This window comes from Homo sapiens, chromosome 9 (genome assembly GCF_000001405.40).
Source record: "Homo sapiens chromosome 9, GRCh38.p14 Primary Assembly".
Taxonomy (NCBI): Eukaryota; Metazoa; Chordata; class Mammalia; order Primates; family Hominidae; genus Homo; species Homo sapiens.
This window is the reverse complement of record NC_000009.12, coordinates 96,290,437-96,315,661: the sequence shown is the minus strand read 5'-3', so window position 1 is coordinate 96,315,661 and position 25,225 is coordinate 96,290,437. Positions and strand designations below refer to the sequence as shown.

The window sequence follows — 25,225 nt, the reverse complement described above, 5'->3', positions numbered from 1 at the left end:
GGAGATGGAGACCATCCCGGCTAACATGGTGAAACCCCGTCACTACTAAAAATACAAAAAATTAGCTGGGCGTGGTGGCAGGCACCTGTAGTCCCAGCTACTCGGGAGGCTGAGGCAGGAGAATGGTGTGAACCTGCAAGGCAGAGCTTGCAGTGAGCTGAGATCGCGCCACTGCACTCCAGCCTGGGCAACAGAGCGAGACTCCGTCTCAAAAAAAAAAAAAAAAAGTCTGTGAAGGCCGGGCACAGTAGCTCATATCTGTAATCCTAGCATTTTGGAAGGCCAAAGCAGGCGGATGGATTGCTTGAACCCAGGAGTTTGAGAACAGCCTGGGCAACACAGTGAGACCACCATCTCTACCATAAAGTACAAACATTAGCCAGGCATGGTGGCGCATGCCTGTAGTCCCACCTACTTAGGAGGCTGAGGTGGGAGGATAGCTTGACCTTGGGAGGTTGAGGCTGCAGTGAGCCATGATTGCACCACTGCACTTCAGCCTGGGTGACAAAGGAAGACCTTGTCTTTAAAGAAAAAGTCTATGAAAAGGTCAGATGGCAGCGTGAGGAGTCCTGTGGACTCATTCTTCTGTGAAACAAGCAAAGCTGGCAAAAACTATAAAAAGAGAAGTAATTACAGTCTCCAGACATTATAAGGGCAAATGAGGAAACATTGATTCAGGTAAACCTACTAACACTTGGTAAGAACGATAGGCAGCCGTGGCATTTGAGAATTGACCCCACTCCTCTCTTTTCCTTCTCCCAGCTCGACTTGGTGGAAGTTCTGCCTCAGGTGGGCATAGCCAAAAAGGGGTCATTCTCTTCTCGGTTCCTGGGGAATTGGATCCAACTGGGAGAAGACCACCTGAATTCTCATCCCATCTAAGTTGAAGATGCTATTTTTTAAAAATTTAATTTGTAATTTTAAGTTCTGGGATACATGTGCAGGATGTGCAGGTTTGTTACATAGGTAAATGTGTGCCCTGGTGGTTTGCTGCACCTATCAACCTATCACCTAGGTATTAAGCCCCACATGCATTAGCTATTTATCCTGATGCTCCCTCTCCCGCACCCCCCTAACAGGCCCCAGTGTGTGTTGTTCCCCTCCCTGTGTCCATGTATTCTCATTGTTCAGCTCCCACTTATAAGTGAAAACATGCAGTGTTTGGTTTTCTGTTCCTGTGTTAGTTTGCTGAGGATAATGGCTTCTAGCTCCATCCATGTCCCTGCAATGGACATGATCTCGTTCCTTTTGATGGCTGCATAGTATTCCGTGGTGTGTATGTACCATGTTTTCTTTATCCAGTCTATCATAGATGGGCATTTGGGTTGATTCCATGTTTTTGCTGTTGTGAATAGTGCTGCAGTGAACATACACATGCTTGTATCTTTATTTTTAAAAATCTTTTTTTTTGAAGACAGGGTCTGGCTCTGTTGCCCAGGCAGGAGTACAGTGGCATTATCTCAGCTCACTGCAACCACTGCCTCCCAGGCTCAAGTGATCTGCCCTCCTCAGCCTCCTAAGTAGCTGAGACCACAGGGACACACCATTACACCTGGCTAATTGTTGTATTTTAGTAGAGATGGGATCTTTCTATGTTGCCTAGGCTGGCCTCAAGTGATCCTCCTGCCTTGGCCTCCCAAAGTGCTGTGATTACAGGTGTGAACCACCATGCCCAGCCAGAGATGCTCAATTCCTGGTGAGTGCAGCTGAGGGGCTAGGGCCCTCTCTACCAAGCCCCTACCCATTAGATGCAGGCTCTACCTCAAGTACAGCAGGCCACAAATACTGGGGTCCCCATTACCCTTGCCCCAGCTCACTTGGAAGGCTGTTCCACACTGGGGAGAGATGATCTGACAAGACCAGAGGCTACCACCCTGTCCAGCACCCAGACGAGTGGCTCAGAGAGGCTGCCCAGGGAGGACGCAGCCTGTGCAGTAAAGAATTTAATCTTGCCCAAAAAGATGTCTGGTCTTTGCCCTAAGCTTCTTGGAATATCATGCCAAAGAGGAGTGTCTTTGTTTGCCTGGGGACCTTGGGTTACATTAGATAGTCTAACAATGTGATTTCAGATGGGGGCTGGCTACACCAGAAAGACCAACAGGGTGGTTTAGGGTGAAGGCTTTGGGTGATACCTGGGGAGTCTGGAGACAGAGATCAGCCATGTGGGCAATCAGTGAAGTTTATGTAATGAAGCCCTAATAAAAACTCTGAACACTGAGGCTTGATTGAGTTTCCCGGGTTGGCAATACTCCGTGCATATTGTCACACATTGTTGCTGGAAAGGTAATGATGTGTCTTGATTCTGTGAGAGAAGACAATGGAAGCTCTACATTTGGCACTTGCCCACACACTGTCCAATCCAATGCTTTTCTTGGCTCATTTTAATCTGTATTCTTTCCTCATAATAAGCGGTAACCACAAGTATAACAGCTTTCTGTGAGGTCTATGAGTCCTACCAAATGATCAAAACTGAGGCTGTTTTTGAGAACTCCTCAAACTTGCAGCTAGTATCAGAAATGAGGGTGGTCCCATGGGGGCTGTGTGCCCTTAAACATTGTAGTTGTCCAAATTAACACAAAGTCCACGAGAAAAAAGAGCTCCAGGGCACTCCTTAAAGGAACTGACTTTATTTGAAGCAGAATGTGGGGAAAATGCATGTCTAAGAGACTCTTGAAGATGATGCCTCTCTTAATTAAGAACAACAAGCTAAATCATAGTCCAACTGGTTCACCAGGGGGAACCAGGGAAAGAGACAGCAAAGAAGAGCTCTCGTGGAGTCAGAACAGACCTCAAAAACTGGCCTCAATAACTACCCCTGCCAGAATTTAATTGGATCAGACTGCTAGGCAATTTATGCCCCAGGGCACTATCAAAAACAATAGAGCAATAAACTGGTAATTGGGGCCTGATGGACCCGGGTAATAACCAAGTCAAGCAGACAGCTTAAAATATAAATCAGGGAAAGAGGCAAAGAGAACCCCCTTAAACCCAGTGTCACTGCAGGGAGACAGTGTGCAATCAAGCCTCAGCCTCCAAGGAGTGACACCAAAGGGGAAAATGGACTTTACTAAAATATTCTAGTGTGTAGCCAAGTCACAAAATAAACAGAACAACAAAACCAAGCTCCAGGGAGAAGGGAGGGGAATCAGTATCCAGAGTTCCTGCAATATATTACCTAAAATGTCCAGGTTCAACAAAAAAGTATAAGACATTCAGAGAAACATGAAAGTGTGACCCATAAAAGCAGACAACAGAAACAGCTTATAAGAGGGACCAGGTGTATTTAACAGATAAAGACTTCATTATAAATAAGTTCAAAGAACCAAAGTACACATGATTAAATAAGTGAAGGAAGGTATGAAGACAATGTTTCATCAAACAGGGAAATCAAAAAGTGAAAGTATTAAAAAAGAACCAAATAGATATTCTGGAGTTGAAAAGTACAAAACCAAAATCAAGCATTTATTTGGGGGCTTAAGAGTAAATTTGAACCTACAGAAGAAAGAATCTGTAAATTTGAAGAGAGATCAATAGAGATTATTCAATTTAAAGATCAGAGAAAATAGAATGAAGAAAAATGAAAAGAAAGCAAATCAACATTTGCATAATTGGTGGGGCAGAAGGAGAAGAAAATGAGAAAAGAGTTAAAAAAATTGAATAATGGGTAAAAACTTCCTAAATCTGTTGAGAAACATGAATTCACACATCCAAGAAACTCAACAAACTCCACAGACAAATGCAAAGAGATCCACATCAAGACATTGATGTAAAAATACTAAAAGCCAAATACACAGAGAAAATCTTAGGAACAGCAAGAGAGAAACTACTCATCACTTACAAAGGAACCCTAATAAGATTAACAGCGGACTTCTTTTTTTTTTTTGAGATGAGTCTCACTCTGTCACCCAGGCTGGAGTGCAGTGGTGCAATCTTGGCTCACTGCAACCTCCGCCTCCCAGGTTCACGCCATTCTCCTGCCTCAGCCTCCTGAGTAGCTGGGACTACAGGCACCCACCACCATGCCTGGCTAATTTTTTGTATTTTTAGTAGAGACAGGGTTTCACTGTGTTAGCCAGGATGGTCTCGATCTCCTGACCTCATGATCCACCTGCTTCGTCCTCCCAAAGTGCTAGGATTACAGGCGTAAGCCACAGTGCCCGGCCTAACAGCTGACTTCTCATCAGAAGCAGTGGAGTCCAGAAGGCAGTGGAATAACATTCAAAGTACTGAAAAGAAAGTCCATGAAAAAGAATAGAGTGTTTTATAGGCATGACATTAAGTCTGACTTCATTATGCATATTTAGTGATATGGTTTGGCTGTGTCCCCACCCAAATCTCATCTTGAATTATAGCTCCCATAATTCCCACATGCCACGGGAGGGACCTGGTGGGAAGTAATTGAATCATGGGGGTGGGTCTTTCTCTTGCTGTTCTCATGATAATGAGTAAGTCTCACAAGATGTGATGGTTTTATAAAGCAGAGATCCCCCTGCACACACTCTCTTGCCTGCTGCCATGTAAGATGTGACTTTGCTCCTCCTTCGCCTTCTGCCACGATTGTGAGGCCTCCCCAGCCATGTGGAACTCTGAGTCAATTAAACTTCTTTCCTTTATAAATCACCCAGTCTAGGGTATGTCTTTATTAGCAGCATGAGAACAGAATACTACACTTAGGAATACTGCTGTGTCTGGCATGCCCTCATAAGGAAGAGTAGACAGAGTTACATAAGGAACACAGTCATATTCATCTCCTCCCTCCACCCCAGGATCTGAGAAAACCCTGTTATTAACTCAGTGATATCAATAAAGTTCTAGAAACCATGTTCTAAACATAAATATTCCTCTTATATATTTTAGTTTTAGTGATGAGGTTTATAAGCTCTGGTAACTGTATGCATTTGGAAGCAAAATGGCTCACAAAGGTCTGATCGGCACTGTTCAGTAAAACTTTCTGCACTGAGGGATGTGTTTAAATCTGTGCTGTTCAATACATGTGGTTATTGACCACCTGGAATGGCTAGTGCAACTGAAGAGCTGAATTTTAAATTAAATGAAATCAAATTAAAATTTAAATAACCACATATGGCCAGTGGTTAGTGATTTGGATAACACAGCTCTGGCAGCTCCAAAACCTCTTTCTTTTCCCCTGGTTATCTTTCTTGAGTAAACTATGTAGCTTACTTTGTGTGGTGAGCCTTAGTTTAATAAACATTTTCAGTATAGATAAGAATAAATTACCCTGAAAAAGAATAGAAAGAAACATTAGTAAGCACCTGCTACAGAAAAGCTTGTTGCTATTTGGCTTTTCACTGATTCTGGGACAGAAAGACGTGATTCCTGAAGTGGAGTTTATGCCCATAAAGCTGGCTCTAAAAACTCTAAATTGAGTAGAACAAGGCCTGGTACACGGTGCATACAGAAAGATCCTTGTTGAATGAATGAATAGACCATATAATCAAAGGGCAAGCTTCAGGATGTTGTTTTTCTTCAATGAATTTCTCTTAACGTAAAACGTAAATGAAGGCGAAATTCTCTCTTCTTAAGTAAACTAAACTTGGAATATTCATGAGAGTTTATTTGACAGGGTGTGGTTCCCTGCTCTCTTCTTCTTTGTGCCTCCACATGTTCACCCCTGGCATGAGAGAGCCTGCATATTAGCAAGATAGAGTTGGGTTTCTGTGTAGGATGTTTACGAACGGGAACTTCATAGGATAGGGACAGCTAGCAATGATGAGCTGAACGGAGGCCAAGCAGGCCTTGAAAGGTAGTTGGATGGGAGCAAGAAGCGAGTATTTATCCCATCTTCTAGACTCCCAGGGTGTCCTTGATCAGCTGGTAGAAGGACCCTTTTTATTGATGGGCTGAGACTGCACACCCTTTCTGCCATTGCTAGCCACTCACAATTATAGAAATGCTTGCTCCTCCAGGTTTTGTTAAATGTGATCACATCTGCAATAGCAATACTGTTAATGACAACTACCATTTACTGAGTACCCGTTCTGTGAGATCCAAAAGTAGGAACCAATCCCTTAGCGCTCTCCTCCAGGGGGTTTCCCACTCTTTCAACCCCAGCACCCCCTGGTTAGTGCTCCCTCAGGCCAACACTTTGAAAAAACCTTCAAAACATAAAATTGTACTTGTGCACAATCTGTATTTTGTATTTGTCAAAACTGTGTGATTCCCAATTAGAATTTCTGGTTGACATGAGATAGCTGATGTTACTAACCAGCTGACTGGAGTTAATTCTAGCCAAAAGTACGGAGAGTTGATGACTGTCTTAATCCTTACAGCTTTGTGATAGAAAAGTCTTCTGAAAATTTGACTTTTGGGGGATACTGAAAATGACTTGAGGATGGCCATTCTTGTTTTCAGGAACTCTCTAGTGATTTGGGAACCTTAGTTCAGAACAATTCTTCTAGACTGACTTGTTCTTGCATTTTCATCTCAAACTTGGGGTACTGGCTTGAAGAGCAGGGTGGATGGGGTCACCTTGAGAGTTGAATAAGATCATCCAGTCCTTGTGCATTTTATCAAGGAAACCAACCAAGGAAGCTGCTGACATCGGGATGGCTGGACTTTCTAAAGGTGCCTTATTCTCCTGTTGTGATGGTGGAGGTGGGCAGAAGTTGTGTGATGACAGCCTCTGGAATCAGACGGCCTGGGGCCACGTCCTAGCTCTGCCAGTTTTAAAAAAACAGCTTGATCGAGGTATTATTTAAATATCTTAAAGACCAGCAATTTTAAGTGTACAGTTTAATGATTTGGGGGTTAATTTATAGAGCTGTGCAACCATCACCCCAATACAGTTTTAAAACATTTCCATGACCCCCAAAAGATTCCCCTTCCCCTGGGAAGCTGTGTACAGAGTGTATTTCAGAAAGCCTCTGCTGTTTAATCTACACCACGGAGGCACGGAGGAGAGTCTCAGTTCCATTGCAACCTCATGAGCACTGCATGCGAGCCTGATGCTCTATTTACTAGCTTATGTGTATGTAGTATTTTACTCATTCAGTTGACATTTCTAATAATGTATGAGGTTAAACATTCCACACATTTGCATACTAGTTGTATTTCTTCATTTAATTTTCTGCCCATGTCTTTTTTTTTTTTTTGAGATGGGGTCTCACTCTGTCACCTGGCTGGAGTGCAGTGGTGCGATCTCAGCTCACTGCAACCTCTGCCTCCTGTGTTCAAGCGATTCTCCTGCCTCAGCCTCCCAAGTAGTACAGGCGCCCGCCACTATGCCCGGCTAATCTTTTGTATTTTTATTAGAGACGGGGTTTCACCATTTTGGCCAGGCTGGTCTTGAACTGCTGACCTCGTGATTCGCCTGCCTCAGCCTCCCAAAGTACTGGGATTACAGGCATGAGCCACTGTGCCCGGCCAATTTTCTGCTCATGTCTGTTACTTCAAGATGTTCTTTGACCTTTGAGTTGCTCCCTTATGTCCTGCATCTAAGGCCTTGTTTGGACCCATATCAAGCTTGGTTTACTGACTTTATGTGTTTTCTCAGTGCTACCAGCTTTTCCATATTTGTTCTTGCCTCTGCTCCTCCTAGCTTTACTGTAGTGTTGTGGAGAGGGTACTCAGTGAACTTGGTTATTGCATTCTGTTCACTGTCTCCTCACCCACTTCAATCCCAGCCCCACTGCCCCACCAAGTACATGCACACTGCACTTAACTAAGTTAATTCACCTCCTTAATCTGAAGCCTCAGACCTTTCATCCACGGGCCCTTGGAGGGCTGCAGATGTGTTTTATTTTGTCTATGCGGTGTTAACATGGTTTCGGAGTTTGTTGCTTTATATTCCAGTTGTTATTTTCATAACATTTTTTATAAAAATGGAGACATGTCTTATTAGAAACTGGATTTTTTTTATCACTTAAAAAAAATCACAATTTGCCTACTAGGCCACAGTTCCACAGGACAGCTGGAGCTGGGTGGAGTGGACAGTTTCTGTTTCATGTTCTCCATGTTCCCTGTTCTCTATGTCCCACGAGTGGAGGCTTAGGGTCAGTCTCTATCCTTCAGGGTGTTTGTAGTGTCATTTCCTAAAGTAGAGCTGAGAGGAAAACAAGAAAATAAAAGCTAAATCAAGAGAGACAAGATTTCAAAGACAATGAAAGAGAGTGCATTTGTCTGTGGAAGTGAACATTATACCTGCTCTGTGTCTGTAGGGAAAAGTGTAGCACAAGGCCAGGCACGGTGGCTCACGCCTGTAATCTCAGCACTTTGGGAGGCCGAGGTGGCGGATCATGAGGTCAGGAGTTTGAGATCAGCCTGGCCAACATGGTGAAACCCTGTCTCTACTAAAAATACAAAAATTAGCCAGGCGCGATGACGGGCACCTGTAATCGCAGCTACTCAGGAGGCTGAGGCAGGAGAATTGCTTGAACCCGGGAGGCAGAAGTTGCAGTGAGCCGAGATCACACCACTGCACTCCAGCCTGGGCAACAGAGCAAGACTCTGTCTTGAAAAGAAAAAAAAAAAAAAAGTACAGCACAAAGTCCCTGCCCTGTTTCATGGACTTACATCACCTGCCTTCCACCACTGTGAGCATCTGAGTTTATGATCCCTGTTTTGGAGATCCAGTTCTCAAACTGTTTTTCTCTGCTTAGCAACTATGCAGAGTTGCTAGATGTATGGTAAGAATTTTTTTTTCTGGTTACTATTTATTGAGTTTTGAAAATCATGTATTTAGAAGTTTTACATCGGCATTAATGTTATTGCTATAATAATATCAGTCATTCAGTCACATTTCTCAAGTGGAGCAGAAAACAACAGCAAACATATGCTGGGGAAATAACATGTCTCCACGTTGAAGAATTTAATTTTTAAACGCTCCCATGTACTCTGTGTCAGGTCGGGCTGCTATAGAAAAATACCACAGACTGAGTGGTTTAAATGGCAGAATTTTGTTCTTACAGTTGTGGAGGCTGAGAAGTCCAAGATCAAGGTGGTGGCCCACTTGGTTCCTGGTGAGGGCTCTCTTGCCGGCTTATAGACAGTGGTCTGCTTGTTTGCTTGCTGTGCCCTCATGTGGTGGAGAGAGAGAGGGAGATCTCTTGTGTCTCTTCTTCTTCTTCTTTTTTTTTTTTTTTTTTTTTTGAGATGGAGTCTCGTTCTGTCGCCCATGCTGGGAGTGCAGTGGTGCGATCTTGGCTCACTGCAACCTCGGCCTCCTGGGTTCAAGCAATTCTCATGCCTCAGCCTCCCGAGTAGCTGGGATTACAAGCGGGTGCCACCATGCCTGGCTTATTTTTGTATTTTTAGTAGAGATGGGGTTTCACCATGTTGGCCAGGCTCCTCTAGAACTCCTGACCTCAGGTGATCCACCCACCCTGGCCTCCCAAAGTGCTGGGATTACAGGTGTGAGCCATCGCACCCAGCCTTGTGTCTCTTCATTTAAGGGCATTAATCTTACCATGAAGGCCCCACCCTCATGATCTCATCACCCCCAAAAGGCTCTATCTCCAAATATCATCACACTGGGGGTTAGGCCTTCAATACATGAATTTTGGCTGGGGCCAGGGGGTAGGTGATACAAGTCATAGCATCTTGCAAATAGAAAAATACACATTTATTTAAAAGCTTTGCTGAATTCACAGTCAGATATTGGTATGTAATTTCTCAATCTATTACATGGGGTTGGATATAGTTTTTGATGCTGAAAAGTAAAAGTGGGGAAATCTTGGTCTGTGACCAAGCACACAAATGAATTGCGGCTTACAGTTCTGGTAACGGAAGTCTAAATTATCCACCATCCAAAGAATAACTGCAGGATAAAATTTGTTTGAAGTTTCCAGATAATTTACATGCAATAAATTGCACAGAGCTTAAAAGTGTACAGTCCAGTGAGTTTTGATTAAGGCATGCCCTTCCGAACACATTGCTTATCAAAATATAGAACATCTTAATCAACCAGAAAAGTTCCCTATGACCCTTCTAGCCAATCCCTTCACCTCTACCAGGCAACAAGTGTTCTGATTTTATTTTACTGAAGATTATGTTTGCCTGTTCTTTAACTTCCTATAAATAACATCCTATGGTATGTACATGTAGAAGGCAGTTTCTATAATGGATCTCAATGATCCCCACCCGCTATGTTCACTCCCTTGTGTGATCTTTTCCCTTTGAATATGGAGTGGATCTAGGAACTTGCTTCTAATGCACAGAATGCAGCTAAAGTGATGGAATGGCCCTTCCGAGATCAGATTACAAGAGTGTGGCTTCTGCCTTCTCTCTCTGTCTGATTCTTCTCACTGGCTAGATCTGATGAAGCAAGCTGCTCTTGGGAGCTGCCCTGTGAGGAGGCCCACACAGCAAGGAACAAAGGAGGAGCAACCGGATCCTGCAACAAACAAGTGACTGGGCTGCTGTTTCCCCAGGTGAGCCTGGAGATGACGGCCACCTGGCTGGACTTTATTGCCACCTGTGAAAGACCTTGAGCTAGAGGATCCAGTTGATCCATGCCTGGATTCCTGACCCACAGAAATCATGAGATAATACATGGCATTGTTTAGGCAACTAAGTTTTGGGTTAATTTGTTATACAGAATAGATAACTAATGCAGTACTTTTCTGTGACTTCTTTTGCTTGACAAAATATGATTTATCCATGTTTTTGTGGGCAGAAGAGATATTCTCAAAGAGCTTATTAAAAGCATTAAACCTATTAAGATAGTCAAAAATTTCAGTATAAGAGAAAGCAGCAATACAGAGAGGTAAATTGAGCACTGAAGCCACATAAGCCCTGCATTTGCTGGACGGGGTGATGGGGAGCTTCAGTGGTGATGGTATGGGACAGAAATGAAGGTCAGGAAGAGTCTAATAGATGAACATTCCATAAGGCCGGGGTCCCAAAAGGTTTCTACATCCTCAGGGTAACCGTGGTCCAGAAGAAACATGCTCCCGGACTACAAGGAAATGCACCTTGGCACTGAGCAGAGGAGGTGGTGGTGGGTGGAGATGGCCAGAGAACCGTCCTATGGGTTTATCAACACAGGCCAGGGTGGGGTGTCATGGCAGACCAAATTCACTTCACCTGCATGGTTTAGAAAACTATGAATTTAGCCATGAATTTAATTTTCCAAATTGGAAGTTCCTCTAGGTATCTGGTAGAAGCAAAACCACCTCCTCTATGGAGGAATACAGCTTCATCAGAAAACCTCACAGAGAAATTTCCAAGCAAAATGGGATGTGCACAGGTGAAAATTATCAAGCACACAAGGAAACAGGGCACCATGAGTGAGACCTACCAGAGAGAGGAGACAGCAACAGAAAGGCTGATGTAGGTACTGGAATTGTTAAAGCCAGATCATAAGACAATTATGCTGAGGTAAAGAAAGTCAAAATTAAAAATATCTGCATGGAGCAGAGAACCATAAGAAGAAAAGCCTCAGTTTTGCAAAAAAGAAAAGGAACTTTTAGAAATGAAGTTAAGGTCATTAAAATAAAAACCACAATGGGCTGACTTAACAATGATCAGACACACCTGAAGAGATAATCAATGACCATGAAGGACAGAGTGAGCAGGTCGAATTTCTGACTAATCAGAGTCCTGAAACCATCTCTAAATACAGAGAAGGGAAAGACCAAAAACCACATAGAAAAACGGGCAGGAGAGAGAAAATTCACAAAGAAAACAGTGAAAATAGCTCTTAGGCTTAAGAAAATCTCTCCAACCTGGCTGATAAGATAATTTAAACTTAAAACAACATTGGATGCTACTTCTTACCTACTGGGTGGCAAAAGTCCCAAAGCTTGACAACATGCTTTACTGCTAAGGCAGTGGGAAAACGAACATGCTCACGTGTTGTTGGCGTGAATGCAAAATGAAGGCAAATCTGACAATATCTAGCATAAAGACGTATGAATCTATGTTCTGGCCAGCAATTCTGCTTCTAGGGTGAGCGCAAGGCTGTTGATTGCAGCACAGAGTGAGCTGAGAGTGAGCACAGGCAGAAATGAGAGAAGGCCAAGGACTGATCCTGTGGCCTCTGCAGGGATGACTTCAGTATCCTGGCTGCCCTTGCTTCAGTTGTCACACCCACCCTCCATCCCACCCCCAGAAGGACATCTTCCCTCAGCATCCAGTGGCCTTTTAAAAGCATAATTCAGAGTATAGAACTCTGTTTCCTAAATCTGTGCAATGGCTTCTGGTTGCTCTGAAAGTCCACACTCACCCGTAGGGCATGGCTCCTCCCTCCTGCTCTGGCCTTTTCCTCCCTTACTCTCTGTGGCCAGTCCCTCTGCTGTGTTGTCCTAGTGTTTTTTTTTTTTTTGAGATGGAGTCTTGCTCTGTCGCCCAGACTGGAGTGCAGTGGCACAATCTCAGCTCACTGCAACTTCCACCTCCCAGGTTCAAGCGATTCTCCTGCCTCAGCCTCCGAAGTAGTTAAGATTACAGGCATGCTCCACCACACCCAGCTAATTATTGTATTTTTAGTAGGTCTCAATCTCCTGACCTTGTGATCCGCCTGCCTCGGCCTCCCAAAGTGCTGGGATTACAGGCGTGAGCCACCATGCCTGTCCTGTCCTAGTTCTTATTCCTCAAATACGTGGATTTTTCTCACTTCAGGCATTGTACTAGCCGTTCCATTAGCCTGGAGGGGGAAACTCATCTTTGCGGAGCTGGCTCCTTTTCATTCAAATTTCAACTAAAAATGCCACCTCTTCATGGAATTCCTTCCTGAACACCCTCTCTGAAGCATTCCCTGAGTAGCTACTCAAACACATCATTCAATAGTGCTTTTTCATAGCACTGATGTTATCTTTTTTTTTTTTTTGAGACAGAATCTCACTCTGTCACCCAGGCTGGAGTGCAATGGCGTGATCTTGGCTCACTGCAACCTCCGCCTCCCAAGTTCAAGTGATTCTCCTGCCTCAGCCTCCCAAGTAGCTGGGATTACAGGTGCCCACCACCAGGCCTGGCTAATTTTTGTATTTTAAGTAGAGATGAGGTTTCACCATGTTGGCCAGGCTGGTCTTGAACTCTTGACTTCATGTGACCCGCCTGCCTTGGCTTCCCAAAATGTTGGGATTATGGGCGTGAGCCACTGCCCCATCTGATGTTATCTTATTTATCTGCTCATCATCTGTCCCTGCTACCAGAATCTAAGCTCCAAACCAGAGAGACCCTCTGTGGTCACTATTAACTTCCTAATGCCTTCAAGAGGGGACTCCACCTGGTAGGCAGTCAATACATAGTGCTAAATGTATGAATAATTGCCTTGGATTCTGCATCCTTTTTAACTTTCCCAAATTCAGGGAGAGAACTGTGGGCTGCCATTTTATATTTGTCCAGGCTTTGTTTTTTTCCCTTCATGTCCACCTTTTACTTTTTCACCAGCTCCTCCACAGTAACAAAAGCCTTATTCAAAGGCCTGTGAGTCAGAGGATTATGTAAAGAAGTTACTTTAATCTAGATGCCCCTGACTTGATGGAACACGTCCAGTGACTCCTGGAAGAAGATCTGGAGGTCTCCAGAGCAGCGTGGTCCCAGGAGGCATACACAGAGAGCCACGGCCAGGGCTGAAACAGTCTGTTGAGTGCAGCCATGGGGGACGTCCTGGAACAGTTCTTCATCCTCACAGGGCTGCTGGTGTGCCTGGCCTGCCTGGCGAAGTGCGTGAGATTCTCCAGATGTGTTTTACTGAACTACTGGAAAGTTTTGCCAAAGTCTTTCTTGCGGTCAATGGGACAGTGGGCAGGTAAGGGAGTGTTCCATCTCATGTTTTTTTGCTGCTGTTGTTCCTGCTTGTTACTATTATTATTATTTTTGAGACAGACACTTGCTCTGTCACCCAGGCTGGAGTGCAATGGCGCGATCTTGGCTCACTGCAACCTCCGCTTCCCGGGTTTAAGCAATTCTCCTGCCTCAGCCTCCCAAGTAGCTGGGATTATAGGCGCCTGTCACCACACCTGGCTAATGGTGTTTTTTTTTTTTTTTTGAGACAGAGTCTCACTCTGTTGCCCGGGCTGGAGTGCAGTAGTGCGATCTCTGCTCACTGCAACCTCTGCCTCCTGGGTTCAAGCAATTCTCCTGCCTCGGCCTCCCAAGTAGCTGGGATTACAGGCACACACTACTACGGCTGGCTAATTTTTTGTATTTTAGTAGAGACAGGGTTCCCCCATGTTGGCCAGGCTGGTCTCGAACTCCTGACCTCATGATTTGCCCACTTTAGCCTCTCAAAGTGCTGAGATTACAGGCGTGAGCCACCGCACCCAGCCAACGTTTTGTATTTTTAGTAGAGACAGGGTTTCACCCTGTTGGCTAGGCTGGTCTCAAACTCTTGACCTTGTGATTCACCCGACTCGGCCTCCCCAACGGCTGGGATGACAGGCGTGAGCCACCGCACCCAGCCCCTGCTTATTATTATTTATGTCTCAAAAGGGATATTGCATTTTTTTCTCTTTGAGAGCAAAGAAGTAATTCCTTTGGGTAATTTTAATTGGGGGGATTAGAAAAGTGTGAGTGAAATTAGAATGGTCTGCAACACAAGCTGTAGGGCATTAGGGGAACACTAGGGCAGAAGGCTACCCAGCCCTTGCTAAGCACTTATCCTCTCAACCCCATTAGATGAGTTTTCTTCTTTTGGGAGTTTCCTGCTAATACAAATAATAAATAATGCAGAAATTTCTGCATCCTCATCTCTAAATTTACAAAAAGCCCAGGGTGCTTTCACTTTACTAAAAGGTGTTTCCAAATTTTGAAATCTAAATAATTTTAACTCATTGTATTAAAAAAAGGATCCAAGTGTTTTTAAGAAATGAAGGTGTTACAAAATCAAGGCAACGCATAACTCTATGGAGCCATGTTTTCAGGATGGTATGGAATGGAATCTGGGTCTGGCTGGTGTCAATTAATGCTGCCTCCCCATGGGATTTATCTACTGGAACGCCCATGCAGAACTTCAGCCCTATGACTGAAGTTAAGGTGAAGAGCATGAGGCCATGGTTTCAGCATCTCCTTGAATATCTGAAATGCTAAAGTCTTTGCAGGGCCTTATATTTCAAATTTGGACACACACACACACACACACACACACACACAAAGAATCCAATGACAAAAATGATTAAGTGACTTTAGAGATATTATCTAGGCAAAATAGGAAAGATTCTAATATGCTTATAGGGCTGCCAGATAAAATACAGGATACCCAGTTAAATTTAAATTTCAGAAAAAAAGGAATACTTTTTTAGTATAACTCACATATGGCATGAGACATGCATTAAACAATTCATAATTTACCTTAATTTCAAATTTAAGTGGGCATTCTGTATCCTTATTTGCTAAACCTGGCAACCTTAAAAACTTAGCAATGGAAATTAAAAAAATTACCGTGTGAGAAATTGTTTGGGATGACAAATGGATTTTTGACTTCTGCGTCTTATATTTGCTGTGTGCGTGTGTGTGTGTGTGTGTGTGTGTGTGTGTGTGTGTGTGTGTGTCCTCTTGGGGTATTATGCTGTCAGGAGTGAACTTGCTTGAACTTGCTCAGCAGCTTGACCTGAGTGTTCTGGATTTAAATACCCCACTCCACACAGATTCAGATGCCCACGTGTGGGTGGACGTAGCACTCTGCACAGCTGCTGTCGTTTGTGTAGGGAAAGCCCTTCTAAAAACCTACATTCTAAAAGAAGTTCAAATGGGGACAGAGACTAAGAGCATTTGGTGACTCAAAGGAAAAACATGATCTTAACCTGTTTTTATGAGTCAAGATGGATAGAGTTACCTCTAGCAGGAGTAAAATATGTTTGGGCAGAGGCAGATATCAGGGAGATAATATATTTCAAGTAGGGGACAAAAAAGAAACGCAAGAACTAGAGGCTAAATTTTTAATTCCTCAGATAGAGTACCCTGAGCTCTGTGCTGGATTTCCTAATTCTTTTCTTAGTGTATATTCATAGACTCAGGGCCCCAAAGTCAGACAGCCTGGGTTCAAATCCTTGTGTCATCATTTTTAGCAGTGTGACCTTAATCAAGTTACGAACTTTTTCCCCTTGGCTTCCTCATTTATAAACTAAGGATAATGATGGTCCCTGCATTTTAGGTTTGTTTTGAACATTAAATGAGATGATGCATCTAAAACACTAGAAGCAGTACATGGCAAGAAGTGAGTGTGTGACCGTTATCCGTCGTTATTATTGATGGTATCATCTTGCCTGTAGTGTAGGCCCTGTATTGGGTGAATTGAAGATTCCCCACAGGGAGGGGAAGGTAAGGCCCAAGATGCCCTGAGCATAGTTCCTCCACCCAGAGCTGCAGACGGTGTGCATGGAGCCTCTTAGAAGTTCCTAAACGAACAGACACATCATTAGTAATTATTAAAGCCAGTGTGGTCCGTGAGGCTTGTACAGCTTGGCCTGCACTCACTCTCAGGTGAGCTAAATGTACCTTTTGTTCACACTTTTTGAAAGCATGCCCTTTAATTGTTGTTGCAAGGGTAAATTGTAAGTTTTACGATATACCGAATTGTAGTGAATTTTGAAATTGTGACGTTCTCACGAATGAAGCGTATACTAGAGCTCAATCATTAAATATGTCTGTAATGTTGATATGAAAGGACTAGCAGACCTATTTGACTGTTGTATATTAACAGATAGTTCTATTGAGTACAAATTCTTCAGGTTTCTTCATTTCACTGCATTTTCTTTTTGCATTTTGGTATTTTCCTCTTTGCTAAATTCCCTACCTTCCATAGGCCTTTAATTGCTGCTGTGGGGTGGGGGTGAGAAGTGGGCAGAGCTCCACTTTTAGAAGGAACCTTGAAATGTCCTTACAATGACAGATGGGTGCCTGGGCAGAGAGATAATGGGGAACACTGCCTGCCCTTGTGGGGTGAAGGCTCACAATATCTGCATCCTCATGGGGCCTGCAGGAAATGTTCCCTGGCTGCGGATCTGTTTCATTTTGGAACATGTTTTCCACAGTCTCGCCAATCCCTCCAAAACACCAACTAACCAACCAACCAACCAACCAACAAACCAACCAACCAACCAACCCACCCACCAACCAAACAATCCTTTCACCTGAATGTTTAGTGAGGGGCTTCAAGGGCGTGGGCTGGAGAGCAAAGGGATGAACCTTTGGAGTACTGACTGCCCTGGAGACTAGGCTTGTGAGAAAACGTGGCCAGTGAGAAAGAGAAGTTTAAAGATGAATTCTGTCTTTTAAAAGCATTCTTGCTTTTCACAGTGATCACTGGAGCAGGCGATGGAATTGGGAAAGCGTACTCGTTCGAGGTAAGCTATCTTCCTGGGGACTTTCTCCTCCCTTGTATTGAACAATCACAGTCCTGAGACATCCACCCCAACACTAGATTTTTGAATATAAAAGCAGTATGCATTCATTTAAAGGAGAAAATATACTCTATGGAAAAGCAAACAAAAATAATAATCTCACTCCCTGGATCTCTTTTTTTAAACACAATGATATTCAAAGGTGACAGTACCTTGCCTTAGGGATTGTTTTGGGAATTTGTGGGGCATTGGTATTTTCTAGTGTAATTGTGCCATATCAGCTTATATACTTTAATTTTTTCAAAACATTATAAACTACTTTCCTTTTATTTATTATTTACATTAAGCTAGGGCATATATTGATTTTTTAAAAGTCACTTGCTTAGGCAAAACATATTATCAGTGACTTTCATTTCAAGGACATTAATGGCATTATAGCATATTCTATAAAAAGAAGGTCTAATAGAACTGAGAGTCACTAGAATACAATTAGTATTTTTGAGTATTTGCTTCCACGCTTATTTCTCTGTAGATAGATAGATTGATAATTATACTTTAAAAAATGCATTTATAACATATGTGGTTTTATATGCTATTATAATTATAAATTTCACATTTTTATTAATGAAACATTGTTTCCTGGAATTCCTATGTATTTTATTTCTTCCTTATGCCTATTACACTGATGTCTAGAACCATGTCAAATACAATAGAAGAATAGAAAGAATTCTAGAAACTGTAAGAGGAAAGCTGTTTAAAAATCAATAACACCAGCTGGGCACGGTGGCTCACTCCTGTAATCCCAGCACTTTGGGAGGCCGAGGCAGGTGGATCACCTGAGGTCAGGAGTTCGAGACCAGCCTGGCCAACATGGTGAAACCTCATCTCTACTTAAAATACAAAAATTAGCAGGGTGTGTTGGCAGGTGCCTGTAATCCCAGCTACTTGGGAGGCTGAGGCAGGAGAATCTCTTGAACCTGGGAGGCAGAGGTTGCAGTGAGCTGAGATCGCACCATTGCACGCCAGCCTGGGCAATAGAGCAAGACTTTGTCTCCAAAAAAAAAAAAAAAAAAAAAAGAAATCAATAACACCTTAAAAATATAATGAAAAGCTTTTCCATTTGCAATAGAAAAATAAGTAATCCTAGAAATACAGTTAACATAAAATTTGTAGGTCTTTTTCAAGAAAACTGTAAAATTCCATTGAGAAATATGAGATATTCCAAATAAGAGAAAAAAATACCACATTCTTGAAGAGAAAGATATTTGAAACCTAACAGTTTCTCCTAAATTTATCTCAAATCCCAGATTATACATACCATTATTTTTTAAATGTTACATTAGTTGTGAGCATTTTCTTATGTCAAAACTGTGGGTTTTTTTTTTTTTGAGACACTTGCTCTGTTGCCCAGGCTGGAATGCAGTGGTACAAACACTGCTTACTGCAGCCTTGACCTCCTGGGCTCAAGCAATCCTCCCACCTCAGCCTCCCGAAGCAATGTGTCCTCCTGGAACTACAGGCTCATGTATTTTTTGTAGAGACAGGGTTTCACTGTTCCTCTGTTGTCCAGGCTGGTCTTGAACTCCTGAGCTCAAGTTATCTGCCTGCTTTGGCCTCCCATAGTGCTGGGATTACAGGCATGAACCACTGCAGCCTGCCGAAAACCCTGATTTTTAAATGGCAACATAATATTCCATCAAATGGATGGTCCATAATTTAACCATTTTCTTGGTAAAAATTTTAATTTTTTTCTGAATTTTTCTTCATTTTATATAAAATTGGGAGTAAATACAGAAACTTTTCTGCTTATATCCAATTATTTTGGGAGCTATTTTCTTGAGGTGGTCTTGCTGGGTTAGAGGTTGTGAATATATGTAAGGTTCCAGTGCTTTCCACTATGTTATAGTAATTACACCCATTTCTGAGACAGATGTGGTCTTCATCAGCTTCAGCTGCAGAATGAATTCCATAAGCTGAGTGGCCTAAGCAAGCATGTATTTCTTAGGGTTCTGGAGGCTGGGAAGTCCAAGAGCGAGGTGCCAGCAGATCTGATGTCTGGCAAGGGCTCTCTTCTTGGTTTGCAGACAATTGTCTTCTTGATGTAGCTTCACACGGCAGAGAGCAGAGAGAGGGGAAGCAAACTCTCTGATGTTTCTTCTTCTTTTACTTTTTGGAGACAGGTTCTTGCTCTGTTGCTCAGGCTGGAGTGCAGTGGTGCAAACAGCTCACTGCAGCCTCAACCTCCTGGGCTCAAGTGATACTCCCACTCAGCCTCCTGAGTATCAGGGACTACGGGCGTGTGCCATCACGCCTGGCTAATTTTTAAATTTTTTGTACTGACAGGGTTTCACCATGTTGCCCAGGCTGGTCTTGAACTCCTGGGCTCAAGTGATCTGCCTGCCTCGGCCTCCCAAAGTACTGGGATTACAGACATGAGCCACCATGCCTGGCCTGGTGTTTCTTCCCATAAGGACATTAATCTCATCGTGAAGGCCCCACTCTCATGACCTGATTACCTCCTGAAAGCCTTACCTCCAAGTGTCATCTCATTGGGGGTTAGGATTTCAGCATATGAATTTTGGGGGGGCCACAAAACATTCGGTTCATATGAAAAATGCATTCAACTACAGTACAGTACCCATGCCTTTTCTTGTCCCAGACGGCTTGCATCATAACAAAGCCATCTTATGTGAAACAGCAGTGCAAGGCATCTGGGACGCACTTGCTAGAAACTTGGCGTATGTTAACAAACCTCAAGCATGTCAGTTAAAAAAGCTCCTCGTGGGCTGGGCGCAGTGGCTCACGCCTGTAATCCCAGCACTTTGGGAGGCCGAGGAGGGTGGATCACCTGAGGTCAGGAGTTCCAGACCAGCCTGGCCAACATGGTGAAACTCCGTCTCTACTTACAATACAAAAATTAGCTGGGTGTGGTGGCGGGTGCTTGTAATCCCAGCTACTTGGGAGGCTGAGGCAGGAGAATTGCTTGAACCCAGGAGGTGGAGGTTGCAGTGAGCTGAAATTGTGCCATTGCACTCCAGCCTGGGGGACAAGAGTGAGACTTCGTCTGAAACAAAAACAAAAACAAAAACAAAAACAAACCAAAAAACTCCTTGTGGCCCGGTGTGGTGGCTCACGCCTGTAATCCCAACACTTTGGGAGGCCAAGGTGGGCAGATCATGAGGTCAGGAGTTCCAGACCAGCCTGACCAACGTAGTGAAACCCCGTCTCTACTAAAAATACAAAAATTAGCCAGGCGTGGTGGTGCTTACCTGTAATCCCAGCTACTCAGGAGGCTGAGGCAGGAGAATCGCTTGAACCCAGGAGGTGAAGGTTGCAGTGGGCCGAGATTGTGCCACTGCATACCAGCCTGGCGACAGAGCGAGACACCATCTCAAAAAAAAAAAAAAAAAAAAAAAGCTCCTCGTGTCTGACCCCCGTCCTTCATCTGCTGCTGATGATTTTTTGACACTGACCCTTCTATCTCATCTCTGTTTATTTTTAAGATAAGGAGTTATTTGCTTTTATTCTAATTCATGTATAGCAACTTACTGGTGAACAGGAGTGGCTGACACTCGGTAGATGAGTGGTCATATTTGAGTGTTGAAGTTGGAGAGACCACCCAGCAGTCACTTTTCAAAACAATGTGTCTTCCATTCCCCCAAATCAGAAGGAAAATGTTTCTAGCTATTTGCATTAAAACTATATAACCTTTTATATAACGATTTCTCACCCTGGACCAGGTTTTGGAAAGACCTAATATGTCAACCAAAAGGTTCTTCACCTTACCTCTAAGTTCCCTGGATTGCCAAGCAATTCTTCACGATTCTCCAGAATCTTTTCTCAAGTTCATGCTGACCTGACCTTCCTGTGGTCCCTTGCTATCGCAAGACTCAGACACTCTTCTTTCTGCTTAGGGGAGACCCCATGTGGAAGCTGTCCTTAGCCATTCATTTCTTTATTGTTTCACAAAGCAATGGCCCTGGGGGTCAGGAGCTGTGGGTTCCAGTCTTCACCATGATGCTGTCTGGAGATTTTGGACAAGTTACACATCCATTCTGCGCTTCTGGGTCTTTGCCAACTTTGTGTTCTGTCCTTGATGAATTCTTGCTTTGTACTTCTCCTTGTGGACTTTTTTCCTCTTTGCCTTTTTATTTAATTTTTTTTTTTTGTAGAGATGAGGTCTCACTTTGTTGCCAGGCTGTTCTCAAATTCCTAAGCTTAAGCAATCCTCTTGCCTTGGCCTCCCAAAGTGCTGCGATTATGGGCGTGAGCCATTGTGCCCAGCCTCTTTATGTTCTTTACTGAGGCTGTGTTAAACAATTTTCTGGGCTCCCAACCTCTCCTTCATGTAGGCTTTTCTCCCTTCCAGAGATCCTGTTCTCTCCCTGCTAACTGCTGCTCCAAGGAGTGCAGCTGAGCCTGAGATGCTGTGGACTGTAATGGGTAAAAGCCTGAGGTTGGGAATTGATCAGATGTGTGTCAAAGCCTCCCTCCAAGGCTCACTGGCTGAATTTCCACATCAATGAGCTGGAAGTGATAACAGTCTCACCTAGGTTTTTGTAAGGGTTAAATAGGATGAGACAGGCAAAATGGTTTGCTCAGAGTAAGCTTTCCAAGGTTAGGTTTTGTTCTTATTGGATATTTAAACTGTGATTCCTTTCACATATACGGCTTTTTTTATTTTTTGAGAATGTATTAGTCATGGTTCTCGAGAGAAACAGAATCAATAGGATGTGTGTCACACACACACACACACATACACACACAGACACACAGACACATAGAGACAGCTGGGAGTGGGGGCAGGGGAGGAAGGGAGAGAAAGAGAGTGGGGAGGAAGGGAGAGGGAAGGAGACAGAGAGAGAAGAGTGGGAGAGGAAGGGAGGGAGAGGGAGAGGAGAGAAAGGTTGATTTATTTGAAGGAATTGACGCACATGGTTATGGAGGCTGGTGTGTCCCAAATCTGCAGTGTAGGCTGGCAGGTTGGAGACCCAAGAAGAGGCAAAGCTGCAGTTCAAGTCCACAGGCCATCTATCAGGTGACAGAATTCCCTGTTCCTCCAGGAAGGTCAATCTTGTTTTCTTAAGGCCCTCAGCTGACGAGACGAGGCCCACCCTCCTTATGGAGTGTAATATGCTTTACTCAAAGTCTACTAATTTAGATGTTAATCTCATATAAAGATAGCTTTACAGAAACATAATAATGTTTGATGGAGTAGCTGGGTATCATGACCTAGTCAAGTTGAAACACAATGTTCACCGCTACAGAGAAGAAGAATATCTTGTATTTACCAGTATTTTCTCTTCCTGTTGCTCTTTCTTTCTTCCCAATGTCCCAAGATTCCTTTTTAAGTCACTTTATTTCTGTTTATAGAATTTCCTTTAGCTATTATTTTAGGGTTGGTCTGCAGGCAACAAATTATCTTAGTTTTTCTTCATTCGAGAATGGCTTCATTTCCCCTTCATTCCTAAAAGATTGTTTTGCTAGATACAGGATTTGCAGTTGACAGTCCTTTTCTTTCAGCACTTGAAAAATACTGTGGCACTTCCTTCTGGCCTCTGCGGCTTCTTATGAGAAATCTGATATTATTTGAATTGCTTTTCCCCAATAAACAGGGGAGTGTTTCTCTCTTGGCTTTCAAAATTTTTTCTTTGTCTTTATTTTTCAAAAGTTTAAATACAATGATTCTTGGCATGGATTTCTTTGGTTTTACCCGTTTGGGGTTTACTCAGCCTCTTGAATCTGTAGGTTTACATCTTTTCACAAATTTGGGCCCGGTGTGGTGGCTCCTGCCTGTAATCCCAGCATTTTGGGAGGCTGAGGCGGATGGATCACCTGAGGTCAGGAGTTCAAGACCACCCTGGCCAACATGGTGAAACCCTGTCTCTACGGAAAATACAAAAATTAGCTGGGCATGATGGTGGGCACCTGTAATCCCAGCTACTTGGGAGGCTGAGGCAGAACTGCTTGAATCCAGGAGGCAAAGATTGTGCCATTGCACTCCAGCTTAGGTGACAAGAGTGAGACTCCATCTCAAAAAATAAATAAATCAATAAAAACAAATTTCAAAAACTTTCATCCATTATTTATTCAAATACTTTTTCAGCCCTGCCCTCTTCTCTCCTTGTAACACTCCAATGGACATGAATATTAGACCTTTTTATAGTTCAATGGGCCCTTGAGATTCTGTTCAATTTTTTCAGTGTATTTTTTCTCTGTTGCTTATATTGGGTAATTGCTTTTTTTTTAATCTTCAAGTTCATTGATTCTTTTCTTAGTCCCACTCTTTCTGCTACTGAGCCCATCCATCAAGGTTTTAACTTTAGTGATTATATTTTTCAGTTCAAGTATTTTCATGTGGTTCTTCCTTACATCTTCTATTTCTTTGCAGAGATTTTTCTATTTTTGCCATTTGTTTTGTGTGTTTATAATGGTTTATTGAACTTTTTTTTTTCTTTTTTTGAGATGGTGTCTCACTCTGTCACCTAGGCTGGAGTGCAATGGTGCGATCTTGGTTCACTGCAACCTCTGCCTCCCGGGTTCAAGTGATTCTCCTGCCTCAGCCTCCCAAGTAGCTGGGATTACAGGTGCCCACCACCACGCCCAGCTAATTTTTGTATTTTTAATAGAGACGGGGTTTCACCTCGTTGGCCAGGCTGGTCTCAAACTCCTGACCTCAAGTGATCCGCTTGCTGTGGCATCCCAAAGTGCTGGGATTACAGGCATGAGCCACATCACCCAGCCTACTGAAGCATTTTTATGCTCCAAACCTTGTCAGATAATTCTAATGTCTGTGTCATCTCTATGTTGGCATCTGTTGTTAGTATTTTCTCATTCAGATTAAGATCTTGGTTCTTTGAATGATGGGTGGCTTTTGACTGAATCCTCAACATTTTGGTTTTACGTTATGGGACTCTGGATCTTATTTAAATCTTTGGTTTATATTGGTCCATACTGACATTGCTGTGGGAGGGAGAGGAGGGGGAACTGACTAGTTTCTACCAGGTGGAGTGGGGGCTCAATTCTCCACTTGTGGAGAGCTGCCTACTTCTTACTGTTGGGTGGGGGTGGGGTTCTGGCTTCTTCCTGGGCCTCTGCTGATACCACTCTGGCTGGGAGGGGCAGAAACACTTCTTTACTGCTCTCCACAAGGCCTCCGATGACACTTGGGAGAGGTGGCCTCGTTCCACTGGGCAGTGGTGAAAGTCCTGGCTCTCCATGAGGCCTCCTCTGTTATCATCCCTGGCAAAGGAAGAGGACAAAGAGGGGAAGAGGTGCCTTGTTACTGCCAGGTGGGGGTGGAATTCAGATCTCCACAGACATTCGCGGGGATGGTGGCAGCTGCAATGAAAGTCCCAGGATCCTTGCTACAGAGCCTCACCAGCGTGGAAGACCCAGCTCCCCACCCAGCCTTTACTGGCAGGGGTGTGGGTGGGGTCATAGTTTTTCCCAAGGTGTTTGCTTGGAGTAGACAGTTGCTGTCTAAATGTTTTCTGTCTCACTAGACATCCCCTTTTCTGGTCCTCTAGTTAGAGAGGGCAGGCTTTTGTTGAGACTTTTTTTTTTTGAGACAGAGTTTCGTTCTTTTGCCCGGTCTCACTCTGTCACACAAACTGGAGTGCAGTGGCGCGATCTCGGCTTACTGCAAACTTTGCCTTCTGGTTTCAAGTGATTCTCCTGCCTCAGCCTCCCGAGTAGCTGGGATTACAGGCACCCGCCACCATGCCTGGCTAATTTTTGTATTTTTAGTAGAGATGGGGTTTCACCATGTTGGCCAGGCTGGTCTCAAACTCCTGACCTCAGGTGATCCACCTGCCTTGGCATCCGAAAGTGCTGGGATTACAGGTGTGAGCCACTGTGCCCAGCGAGACTTTTTAATAACTGCATCTGTTGGCATTTCTAAACTGCCAGTTTCTCCAGCAATGTCTGGGATATGTGGAAAAAAAAAAAAAAAAAAAAAAAGCCCAGGAAATACCACAGTG

General features: G+C 43.6%; 2 protein-coding genes and 1 long non-coding RNA gene across 3 annotated transcripts in view; all 3 read left to right on the top strand.

Moving 5' to 3' along the window:
• The window catches only part of SLC35D2 (solute carrier family 35 member D2), a 70,268-nt gene extending 68,050 nt beyond the window's left edge, over positions 1–2,218 (top strand). Inside the window, exon 13 of the transcript NR_104627.2 lies at positions 763–2,218. The gene's annotated coding sequence lies outside the window, so the exon portion shown is untranslated. The remainder of the gene's footprint in view (positions 1–762) is intronic.
• Positions 1–25,225, top strand: part of SLC35D2-HSD17B3 (SLC35D2-HSD17B3 readthrough) — a 148,406-nt gene that overhangs the window by 68,050 nt on the left and 55,131 nt on the right. The window contains exons 13-17 of the long non-coding RNA NR_182427.1: positions 763–1,696; positions 6,536–6,708; positions 10,271–10,388; positions 13,351–13,711; positions 17,200–17,246. This is a non-coding gene — a long non-coding RNA (SLC35D2-HSD17B3 readthrough). The remainder of the gene's footprint in view (positions 1–762; positions 1,697–6,535; positions 6,709–10,270; positions 10,389–13,350; positions 13,712–17,199; positions 17,247–25,225) is intronic.
• Positions 13,486–25,225, top strand: part of HSD17B3 (hydroxysteroid 17-beta dehydrogenase 3) — a 66,871-nt gene continuing 55,131 nt past the window's right edge. The window contains exons 1-2 of the mRNA NM_000197.2: positions 13,486–13,711; positions 17,200–17,246. Coding sequence (NP_000188.1) covers positions 13,558–13,711; positions 17,200–17,246 — 201 coding nt within the window. The 5' untranslated portion in view covers positions 13,486–13,557. The remainder of the gene's footprint in view (positions 13,712–17,199; positions 17,247–25,225) is intronic.